Source organism: Homo sapiens, chromosome 11, assembly GCF_000001405.40.
Source record: "Homo sapiens chromosome 11, GRCh38.p14 Primary Assembly".
Classification (NCBI taxonomy): Eukaryota; Metazoa; Chordata; class Mammalia; order Primates; family Hominidae; genus Homo; species Homo sapiens.
The window spans coordinates 71,686,394-71,698,777 of record NC_000011.10 but is presented as its reverse complement, the minus strand read 5'-3'; the positions used below and the strand labels follow the sequence as shown (position 1 = coordinate 71,698,777).

The 12,384-nt window shown below is 44.7% G+C and overlaps 1 pseudogene, besides 1 other annotated feature; it reads left to right on the top strand.

The window, feature by feature from the left end:
- Window positions 2,209–2,409: a silencer, noted in NCBI's record as "peak1333 fragment used in MPRA reporter construct". NCBI's record gives its function as "represses an SCP1 promoter by STARR-seq MPRAs in K562 erythroleukemia cells {active_cell/tissue: K562}" and the evidence as "EXISTENCE:reporter gene assay evidence [ECO:0000049][PMID:32103011]".
- Window positions 8,125–8,905, top strand: SNRPCP14 (small nuclear ribonucleoprotein polypeptide C pseudogene 14; annotated as a pseudogene).

The following is a 12,384-nucleotide window of genomic DNA, read 5'->3' as shown; positions in this document are numbered from 1 at the left end:
GGCCAGGATGGTCTCCATCTCTTGACCTTGTGATCCACCCACCTTAGCCTCCCAAAGTGTTGGGATTACAGGCATGAGCCACCACGTCCGGCCCATTTAACTTCTATATTACTTTCCTGTTGGTGGATTTACCAGTGCAAAATGAGCAGCTTAAAACACCACCCAGTTATTATCTGTTTTCATGAGCCAAGGGTCTGGGCAGGGTTTAACTGGGTCTTCTATTCAGGATCACAATACGGCAACCAGAGTGTCAGTTGGAGCTGGGGTCTCATGGGATGCTCAGTGTCTTCTTCCAAGCTTATTCAGTCTGTAAACTGAATTCAATTACTTACAATTGTTGAATGAAGGCCCTCAACTCCTAGAGCTGCCACCTCCAAAGACAGCTCACAGCATGGCCATTTGTGTCTCCTTGGAGGCTAAGAGTTCAGTCTCTGAAACTTCACCTTTAAAGGATTCACCTGATTAGGTCTGGCCCACCTAAGATCATTCTGCTTTGGATGAACTCAAAGTCAGCTGAGCAAATGTGCTTAACAAAGCAAGTGTGACCATAGTCACATTTGCAAAATTCCTTCCTCTTGGTCAAATCACAAGCTCTGCACACACTCAAGAGGAGATGATACAGGGAGCAGATATAAGGGAGTGGGTCTCTTGGGGGCTGTCCTAGAACTCTGCCCATTACAACTTCCTTTCTCGAGGAACAGCAGACCTGGGGAGAGATGATCACAGATGAGCACAGCCCACAGGTGGTGAGTGCCTGGTGCTGGGGTAGGATGCAGGAGGCTGTGAAGCAAGTATGAAAAGCCTTCTCTGGGCTGGGTGCAGTGGCTCACACCTGTAATCCCAGCACTTTGGGAGGCCGAGGTGGGTGGATCACGAGGTCAAGAGATCGAGACTATCCTGGCCAACCAACATGGTGAAACCCCGTCTCTACTAAAAATAAAAAAAATTAGCTGGGCATGGTGGTGCATGTCTCTAACAACCCAGCTCCCCAAGTGAGCAATTCCTGTCCCTTTTAAGGGCTCACAACTCTAAGGGGGTCCACATGAGAGGGTCTTGATCTATTGACCAAGCAGGGAGTACGTGACTGGGGGCTGCATTCAGCAAACCCCATCTCTACTAAAAATACCAAAATTCAGCAAAGTTTCAGGATACAAAATCAATGTGCAAAAATCACAAGCATTCTTGTACACCAATAACAGACAAACAGCCAAATTATGAGTGAACTCCCATTCACAATTGCTTCAAAGAGAATAAAATACCGAGGAATCTAACTTACAAGGGACATGAAGGACCTCTTCAAGGAGGACTACAAACCACTGCTCAAAGAAATAAAAGAGGATACAAACAAATGGAAGAACATTCCATGCTCATGGCTAGGAGGAATCAATATCATGAAAATGGTCATACTGCCCAAGGTAATTTATAGATTCAATACCATCCCCATCAAGTTACCAATGACTTTCTTCACAGAATTGGAAAAAACTACTTTAAAGTTCATATGGAACCAAAAAAGAGCCCACATTGCCAAGTCAATCCTAAGCCAAAAGGACAAAGCTAGAGGCATCACACTACCTGACTTCAAACTATACTACAAGGCTATAGTAACCAAAACAGCATGGTACTGGTACAAAAACAGAGATACAGACTAATGGAACAGAACACAGCCCTCAGAAATAATGCCACACATCTACAACTATCTGATCTTTGACAAACCTGACAAAAACAAGAAATGGGGAAAAGATTCCCTATTTAATAAATGGTGCTGGGAAAACTGGCTAGTCATATGGAGAAAGCTGAAACTGGATCCCTTCCTTACATCTTATATAAAAATTAATTCAAGATGGATTAAAGACTTAAATTTTAGACCTAAAACCATAAAAACCCTAGAAGAAAACCTCAGGATTACCATTCAGGACATAGGCATGGGCAAGGACTTCATGTCTAAAACACCAAAAGCAATGGCAACAAAAGCCAAAATTGACAAATGGGAACTAATTAAACTAAAGAGCTTCTGCACAGCAAAAGAAACTACCATCAGAGTGAACAGGCAACCTACAGAATGGGAGAAAATTTTTGCAATCTACTCATCTGACAAAGGGACCTATGACTTTCTTATAACCAAGAGAATATGGCAGAGGTGATGGGATGTAGTGATTATGTTAGATAGGATGTTAAGTTGTCTTGCTAGGAGGCTGTCTGTCTTGCTGGCTTTGAAGATGTGAGGTGCCATGTCATGAGCGGCCAGATGGAGAGGCCCATGTGGCAAGAAGCTGAAGGCAGCAAGAAACTGGGGCCCTGAGTCCAGCAGCCTGCAAGGAACTGAATGCTGCCAACAACCAGATGAGCTTGGAAGCAGATCAATCACCAGTCAAGCCTCCAGATGAGAACTGAGCCCTGGCTGACACTATGGCTGCAGCCTTGCACTGAACCCAGCTGAGTCACGCCTGGATTCCTGACCCACAGAAACCATGCAGTGATAACTGTCTGCTGTCTCAAGCCACAAAGTTTGCAGTAACATTGTTGCACAGCAATAGATAACTAATATAAAAACTGTCCTACATCATGTACATTACTGAGCGAAATGTAGAACCTGGATTTGAGCTCTGATTTCAGAGTTGTGGTCTCAGTCTCCCCAGGGAGACCTGTCCCTGGAGACAGTTATGCCAGGCTGTGATGCTGTGATGATTGTTCTCTTCCTACCCAGAAGCTTTCAATAGGCATGTCAAGCATGTGACCCCAGCTACATATACCAAATGTATTTCTGACAAATGCCAGGACATCTTGAGCTTTCTTGTTTTACTGAGAGCTCCATAAAGGAAGGACTATCTTTGTCTTTTTTTTTTTTTTTTTTTTTTTTTAAGAGTCTCACTGTCACCCAAGCTGGAGTGCAACAGTGCGATCTCGGCTCACTGCAGTTTCTGCCTCCTGGGCTCAAGGGATTCTCCAGCCTCAGCCCTCTGAGTAGCTGGGATCAAAGGTGTACATCACCACACCCAGCTAATTTCATATTTTTGGTAGAGATGGGGTTTTGTCATGTTGGCCAGACAGATCTTGAACTCCTGGCCTCAAGTGATTCGCTTACCTCGGCATCCCAAAGTGCTAGGATTACAGGCATGAGCCACTGCACCAGGCCTGTCTTATTTATGTTATGTCTATGTGAAACAGCCCAGTGGTCAGCACAAAAAGGGGTCCAAATGTGAAAGGAAAGAGCAAACACAGGGGAAACATAGGGGTGTTCAGAAATAGTTCCCAGGTTACTGCCTGTTTCAATATGTACAGTCCTCAGCCCCACCCACAAGATTCTGACTTGGCAGGTGAGAGTTGGAGATAGGGGAGCTACCTGGTTACGAGGGATCCCAGTTCATTTTGAGGCAGCTGGTTGTTAGACTGCATTGTAAAAATTACCCCCCAAAGATGTGAAGGGATAATTTATGTATTTTTAATAGAGATAGGGTTTCACCATGTTGGCCAGGCAGGTCACCAACTCCCAGCCTCAGGTGATCTGCCCGCCTTGGCCTCCCAAAGTGCTGGGATTACAAGCATGAGCCATTGCTCCTAGCAGTATTTTTTTAATGAGGCAAAATTCACACAACACACAAGTCCCTGTATGAAACCATACACTTCAGTATCATTAAATACATTCACAATGTTAAGCAATCATCATCTCTGTCTAGTTCCAAAACATTTTCATTAACACCCCCCGCCCCCCCAAAAAATAACCCTGTATCCAATCAAGCACTCTCCATCCCCTCCCCTTTCCCCCAGTTCCTGGCAACCACTTACCTGCTTTCTGCCTCTACAGATTTGCCTATTCTGGACCTTTCACATAAATGGAATCATGTAATATATATAATAACCAAAAGGTAGCAACAATCAAGATGGCCATTTGGTTGATGAATGAATAAACAAAATGTGCTGTATCCATACAATGAAAGTATTGGTGCCTACTGCATGTGGATGGACCTTGGAAACATCATGCTAAGTGAGAGAGAGCCTTGGTATTGTCTCATCTCCCCAGGAGATTCCAAGGTGCAGCCAAGGTTGAGACCCACTGACAAGCAATGGGTATGGTTGGGTGCAGATGAAATAAGGCAGCCAGGGGCAGGAGGGACGTCTCATTGAAGATGACTGTTTGTGGATGCCTAGCAGGGGTGGGGATGAGGGATGATAACAGCAACCCCAATCTCAACACAGCGTGACCGATTTTATCTTCAGTCAGCTGATACCCCTCATGGGATTTGGACACAGGACATCTCTGCCTCCCAGGTTCAAGCAATAACTCCTGCCTCAGCCTCCTAAGTAGCTGGGATTACAGGCATGTACCACCACACCTAGCTAATTTTTGTATTTTTAGTGGAAACGAGGCCTCATCATGTTGCCCAGGTTGGTCTCGAACTTCTGGCCTCAAATGATCCACCCACCTCAGCCTCCCAAAGCACTGGTATTACAGGCATGAACCACAGTGGCAGCCTCCAAATTCTATTTGAAGTTTGACTTTCCACCTCCAGAAAATCCAAACCTTTGCCCTAGTCACAGTGGGACACCCCGGAGTTAATTTGAGAGAAATGTGCTTTTAAAAACAACCCCAGGCCAGGCGCAGTGGCTCACGCCTATAATCTTAGCACTTTGGGAGGCCGAGGCGGACGGATCACGAGGTCAGGAGATCAAGACCATCCTGGCTAACACGGTGAAACCCCGTCTGCACTAAAAATACAAAAAGTTAGCCGGGCGTGGTGGCACATGCCTGTAAGCCCAGCTACTCGGGAGGCTGAGGCAGGAGAATCGCTTGAACCAGGGAGTCAGAGGTTGCAGTGAGCCGAGAGCGCACCACTGCACTCCAGCCTAGTGACAGAGAGAGATTCCGTCTCAAAATAAATAAATAAAACCCTCCGATATGAACACCAAACTAGAATCACTGCATTGACTTCCCTTCTCCAATCAGGGGGAGTGATGGTGATGGTGCATGAGTGTCTATTTGCATTGAGTCTTAATGGAAAATAAGGTTGTGTCACTCAAAGGAAAAACAAATCACAGCCCAGACTGGAGCTGTAGATGAATAACATGGCTGAGTGTTGGTACAGGCTTTCCACAGCAATATTAAAACTGAAAAAATCAACAATGAAGCTCCCAGCCACATTTCTGCCTAATGATTTGGGGGAAAACAACAGAGGCACTCCTCAACTTTTCCTTCGCTGCACAAAGTGGGTTTGGCTGGAAATGCCAAATGTGCTTGTTGCTGGGATCTTTCAAATGAAAGCAAGCTGGGAGTCAACATCCTGCAGCCGCAGGCCAGAAATGGGTTGAGACCAAGCTATTATAGTAACACTGGTGCACATCTAAACAGATTTAACTCCCTCACAGCAATCCAGATTAATTTAATATGCTTTCTTAGTGGCATTCCGCATTTCTCATTAAAGCAAATGAATGTCTATCTCTCTGTGATAAATTAGGTCAAAAAACATTCATATATTTAGGGCACAGGGAAGGAGGATTTGTTGGCTGTTAAAAAAAAAAAAAAAAGCCCTGCAAATGGCCTTTCAAAGTCTAGACATCTTCATCATCAACACAAACATTCCTCTTCACAAAGGGACCTCAAGTAACCCTAGGCTGGAGGGCCCACCTGCGTATGTTTTTCTTCTCATTCTTTTTTACCTTCCCTCCAGCCCACACAACTCACATTCAGTGACTAAGTCACGTGGGTTTTACCTCCTAAATCTTTCTCAGATCCTTCACTGCTCAGCCACTCTCCTGACACCACCATAAACCAAGCCACCATCACCTCCAGCCGTTTGACTGCAAATGCCTCCAGACTGGCCTCTGCTTTTCCCTGGCCCTGTGACAATCTGCACTCCTCACAGGGACCAAAGCAATCACTTCAGAAGGTGCATCCAAACAGATCACTCAAATTTCAATGGCTCCCTCTGCTGTGTGGGTTAACAATGATAAAAGCTCGGCCGGGCGCAGGGGCTCACGCCTGTAATCCCAGCACTTTGGGAGGCCGAGGCGGTCGGATCACGACGTTAGGAGATCCAGACCATTCTCCCTAACACCGTGAAACCCCGTCTCTACCTAAAATACAAAAAAATTAGCCGGGCGTGGTGGCAGGCGCCTGTAGTCCCAGCTACTCTGGAGGCTGAGGCAGGAGAATGGCGTGAACCTGGGAGGTGGAGCTTGCAGTGAGCTGAGATCGCGCCACTGCACTCCGGCCTGGGAGACAGAATGAGATTCCATCTCGGAAAAAAAAAAAAAAAAACAAAACACAATGATAAAAGGTCACCTTTCCTGAGCACACACTATCTCAGTCCATCCCTACATCAGCCCTTTATTTCACCAGTAGGGAAGCTGGGACAGAGAGTAGTTACGTGGGATGCCCAAGGTGGGACCACTCGTGTGAAGTTTCCACACTCTAATGTGAGACCCTCCATGACCTAGCCCCTCTCTTTCTCCAGCCTCATTTCCTGATTCTCTTGCTTTCCCTGCAGGCTTCAGCCACAGAAACTTCTTGAAAGTCCCTTAAATCTGACTGAGTGCAGTGGCCCACGCCTGTTATCCCAGCACTTTGGGAAGCTGAGGCGGGTGGGTCACCTGAGATCAGGAGTTCGAGACCAGCCTGGTCAACATGGTGGAACCCCATCTCTACTAAATATCCCAAAATTAGCCACGTGTGGTGGACGGCACCTGTAATCCTAGCTACTCGGGAGACTGAGGCAGGAAAATCGCTTGAACTCGGGAAGCAGAGGTTGCAGTGAGCCAGGATCGCACCACTCCACCCAAGCCTGGGCGTCAAGAGTGAAAGTCCATCTCAAAAAAAAAACTGTCCCTTAAATCTGCTCTATGCCTATCAACCTCAGGGACTTCACTATACTGTTCCTCACCCTGAAATGCTGTTCCTCATTTCTCCACATAGTGAACTCATCCCACCCCTAGGCCTCTCCTTAAGTGTCATCTCTTCAAGGAAGATTTTACTTTTTTAATATAACTATTAAAATATAATTCAGGTACCATATCATTTGCCCATTTAAAGTAAACAAATCTATGGTTTCAGTGCATTCACAGAGCTTGGCAGCCACCATCATGATCAATTTTAAAACATTTTCATCACCCCAAAAGAAACCCTGTATCCATGAGCAGGTACCTGCCATTTCCTCCTCCCACTAAGCCCTGACAATCTACTTTTTTTGAGATAGAGTCTCTGTCACAGGCTGGAGTGCAGTGGCACAATCTCGGCTCACTGCAACCTCCGCCTCCCGGGTTAAAGCAATTCTCCTGCCTCCCGAGTAGCTGGGATTACAGGGATATGCCACCATGCACATCTAATTTTGTATTTTTAGTAGAGACAGGGTTTCTGTCTTCATAGATTTGCGTGTTCTGGACATTTCATATAAATGAAATCTTATAATATGTGACCTTTTGTGACTGGTTTCTTCCACTTAGCATAATATTCTCATGGTTCATCCATGTTGTAGCACGTGTTAGTACTTCATTCCTTTTGATGACTGAATAATATTCCATTGTGTGGTCAAACCATGTTCTATTTCTCCACTCATCAGTAGACAAGCATTTGTGTTGTTTTCACTTTGGCGCTATTATGAATAATGCTGCTATGAGCATTTGTGTACAATTTTCTGCACGGACATATATTTTCATTTCTTTCATAAACTGGAGTGGAAGTGGTGGGTCACAGAACTCTGTGTTTAAGCTTTTGAAGAAGTGCCAGACTGTGTAAGAAAGAAAGCCTTTCCTCACCCTGTGAGACTGAGCTCCTCTCTCCATTTATACGTTCTCTTTATGCCCTTTGCTTCTCTTTCAGAGCAATTCACGTTGACCTGGGTCACCCTCAACTTAAGGCTCATAACTCCCCTAGATCCTCAGGGTCCACACTAAATGTGATGAAATATGATGGAAGCCACATATTTACTTTTGCATTTTGTAGTAACCACATTTTAAAAAGTAAAACAAAAGAAGTGAAGGTAATTGGAATAATATCACAGATTTAAACAAATCTATCCGAAATACCAGGTCTGCAAGTATAAAATATTTTAACATTAACAAAATACTTTGCTTTCTTTTTATATTAAGTCTTCACAATCTAATGTGTATATGACACTTCTCGCACATCTCAGAATGATGGCAACACCCCATATGGGGGGCCCTCCCATGATGCCAATGATGGGCCCTCCTCCTCCTGGGATGATGCCAGTGGGACCTACTCCTGGAATGAGGCCGCCCATGGGAGGCCACATGCCCATGATGCCTGGGTGCCCAATGATGAGACCTCCTGCCCATCTCATGATGGTGCCCAGTCAGCCCAGAATGACTCTACCAGACAGATAAGGATAGAGGGGAGGCCTCATTACATCAGTGTTGTTTTGTTGTTATTATTGTTGTGTTTTCTTTGTTTGTAATATTTTGTTTTGTTTTTGAGACACAGTCTTCCTCTGTCGCCCAGGCTGGAGGGCAGTGGCACGATCTCAGCTCACTGAAACCTCCACCTCCCGGGTTCAAGCGATTCCCCTGCCTCAGCCTCCTGAGTAGCTGGGACTACAGGCGTGCGCACCATGCCCGACTAATTTTTTTTATTTTAGTAGAGACAGGGTTTCACCATGTTGGCCAGGATGGTCTCAATCTCCTGACCTCATGACCCGCTCGCCTCAGCCTCCCAAAGTGCTGGGATTACAGGTGTGAGCCACTGTGCCCGACCTATATGAGTTTTATATTTACCTGTTCCCTTCACCAGGAGATCATGCTGCTGTGATGCCAGGTTTTCTTAACAGCATAAGGAAGACTTGCCCCTTGCCTTATCAAAGAGAATAGTTTTGGAGGGGAGAAGTGGGACCAAAAAAGATGCAGTTTTCATTTCTATTGGGAAATGTGAAAATAAAATTGTCAACTCTTTTAGTTAAAAACAACAACAAAAAAAAGGAAACGAGATGTGGGGCTGCCACACGCAATATCGTGCATTAAAAAGATCTTCTACTCTGGAGGAAAATATCTTTGCTGATGCCACACCAACCTAATACAAAGACCTTTTGGTTTTTTAATGTGACTGTTTTTTATTTTACAATGTGTAATTTACTTTAGAAGGGCAAAGTACCTGTCTGGGGAAGACTATTTAATTTCCTGCATTTATTTAGAATATTGGCTAATGTTATTCTGAAGGGAAATATCTCTAACAAGTGAGTGCCCCCCACATAGACACAGGTCATGAGCTCACAGGGCAAAGGAATTGAACAGCAGCCTCCTAATAGCTAGCCTTCCTTGTGGTATGGAAATAATTATCAGCATGTAAAAGACTGTATATATATTCAACAATTCTGACCCCCTGCAAAATTCAAATCTACAATTTATTTGCTTCCTGCGCTCCTGAAAACAACTTTGTCAAAATTGTTCAGAAATAAAATCAGCCAATCGTTGCCCCTTGGGGACGCAGGACAAAGCAAATCAGCCATGACCAATGTGGAGTCGGCCGTACGCAATTACATACAGACCTGCAGGACATCGAGTCCCTGCTATGGTCCCTCCCCAGTCAGGCCCCCATTGCCTGGGCTGCAGCCAGAAGCATTCAGGCACAAGTGCATTCAACAAATACTTATTTAATTGTATTGGTGGTTAGAGGGCTGTTGTTGATTAAGGTACATTAATGGATCCATGTCCTCCCTGTATCCAAGACTCTGCCATTTGTCTCTGCAGTTCCTCCCACTGAAGAATCAGAGTATATTTCTCCAGCCCCTAATGTTGGGTTTAGTCATGTGTCTAGCTTTGGCCACTGGAATATTAATCTGCATGACCAAAAACTTGGAAAGTGTGCATTCATTTGTGCTCACTCACTCCTGCTATCACCATGAGAACAAGCCCAGGCCAGCCTGCTGCTTCCAGCAGAAGATAAGAGACACCAAGAGCAAAGTAGAGCTTCCCAGACATGCTCATGCTAGATTAACCAATCCTCAGCTGACCCATAGATCCATGAAAATAAATGACTGTTGTATTAAGCCACTGAGATTTGGAGTGACTTATTATGCAGCATTTTGTGACAATAACTAACAGATACAAGGGTCACCATCCTTTATCTCTGTAGATTTTAACCAATTTTTAATAGCTAGATGGAGATCTTCTAGTTGCCTTTATTTATAATGAATAAGACTGTAGAGCTAGTTTGGCCTGACACTACCAGTTACCTACCCAGAAATTCAGAAACACTTTCTTCTCCAACCCACCCCAACCAACCATTACCATTTTTTTTTTTTGAAAAGGAGTCTTACTCTTTGCCTAGGCTAGAGTACAAGTGGAGTCAGAGCTCACTGTAACCTCAAAATCCTGGGATCCCCTGATCTTCCCCTTCAACCTCCTACATAGCTAAGACTACAGACATGTGCCACCATGCCTGGCTAATTTTTTTATTCTTTGCAGAGACAGGGTCTCACTATATTGTCCAAGTTGGTTTCAAACTCCTGGCTTCAAGCAGTCCTCCTGCCTCACCCTCCCAAATTGCTAGGATTATAGGCATGAGCCATCACACCCAGCCTCTTCTTCTTTTTAAATAGAAACCCTATTTTATTCTGACAGCGGGTTGCTTACTTTTTTTTTTTTAGAAAAACTTGGCCCAGCCCCAGGGAATAAATTGTGACTGGTCTAAACAGGGTTGGCAAACTATAGACCAAGGGCCAATTCTGGCCCTCTGACTGTTTGTATAAATTAAGTTTTACTGGAATAAAACCAGGTCCATTCATTTATGCCTTGTCTACATATGCTTTAGACTACGATGGCACCACTGTGTCACTGCAACAGAGGTTATCTAGACCAAAAGCCTAAAATATTACCTTTTGCTTCTTTATGGAAAAAGTTTGCCATTCCCTAGTCTAAGGTTTAGATTCTGAGCTTATCATTTTAGCCTACCCCCACTTACCAGTGACTGGCTCAAAACAAGTCTGTGATTCCATTCTGACTGTTCTACTGAGGGAAATCCCCCTTCTTCTCATGCAGAGCTGATGAGAGTAAGTTGTATTAATAGGACATATGCTCAGGTTTTCTGAAAAATACTTTTATCTAGAAATGCATAGGAATATGCTGGTGCCTGAATGTACCATCTGGGGGCCTGGAGATTGACTCACACTGCCTCCAGAGCTAGCGCTCACACTTACTACTGAGAGGCCTGAGGAAACACCTGCCTACCCACCACCAGAACCTGCACACGTCACCTGGAGAACTAGAGATCAGCCTGCCACACACACCACCCAGGAGCCCAGTGGCGCACCTGCCCACCTGGCCCAGTGCTGCCACTGCCAGCAACCAAAGAAGCCACCTGGAGGCCCAGGGATTGGCCCATGCAGACAGGCTATCATCAGTGCCCACATACACTGCCCATGGTCCCTAGTATTGACACACCTGGTCTACCACCACTACCACTGATGCTGAAGGACAAGACTTCCAGGCATCCCCATCCTCAGCAAAGCCTCACCACAGCCTCCAATAACAACTGCAGTCTGGCTGGGTGTGGTGGCTCACACCTGTAATCCCAGCACTTTGTGAGGCTGAGGCAGGTAGATCACGAGGTCAGGAGTTCGAGACCAGCCTGGCCAACATGGTGAAACCCCGTCTCTACTAAAAATACAAAAATTAGCTGGGCGTGGTGGCACGTGTGTGTAGTCCCAGCTACTCAGGAGGCTGAGGCAGGAGAATCGCTTGAACCTGAGAGGCAGAGGTTGCAGTGAGCTCAGATTGTGTCACTGCACTCCAGCCTTGTGACAGAGCTAGACTCCATCTCAACCACAAACACACAAACAAAAAAAACTGCAGTCTAAGCCACTGAATAACTCACAGACACCACTCATGCCAATTACAGCTGAAGAAATCGTATGTAGACTATACCACTGTACCCCCCGAGAATCAAAGCCAAAGTGTGATATCCAATGAACACTGTAGATACAGCTATAAGAAAAGGTCTTTCCCATATAAAAGCCAACCCAGAAAATTGGAAGAAATGACTGCTATGTCAGGGGCACAGATAGTCACATAAGGATGCAAGAAATATGAAAAAGGATACATAACATCTCCAAAGAAGCACAATAATTCTCCAGCAACAGATTCCAATGAAAAGAAAATCTATGAAATGCCTGAAAAAAATTCACAATAATGATATTAAAGAAACTCAGGGAGATATAAGAGAGCACAGATAATGAATACAAAAAAATCAGGAAAATAATTCATGATCTGAATGAGAAATTCAACAGGGATAGACAGCATAACAAAGAACCAAACACAAATCCTGGAAGAGATGAAATCATTGAAAGAAATATAAAAGATAATTGACAGCTTTAACAATAGACTAGATCAAGCAAAACAAAGAATTTCTGAACCTGAAGACTAGTCTTTTAAAATAATCCAGTC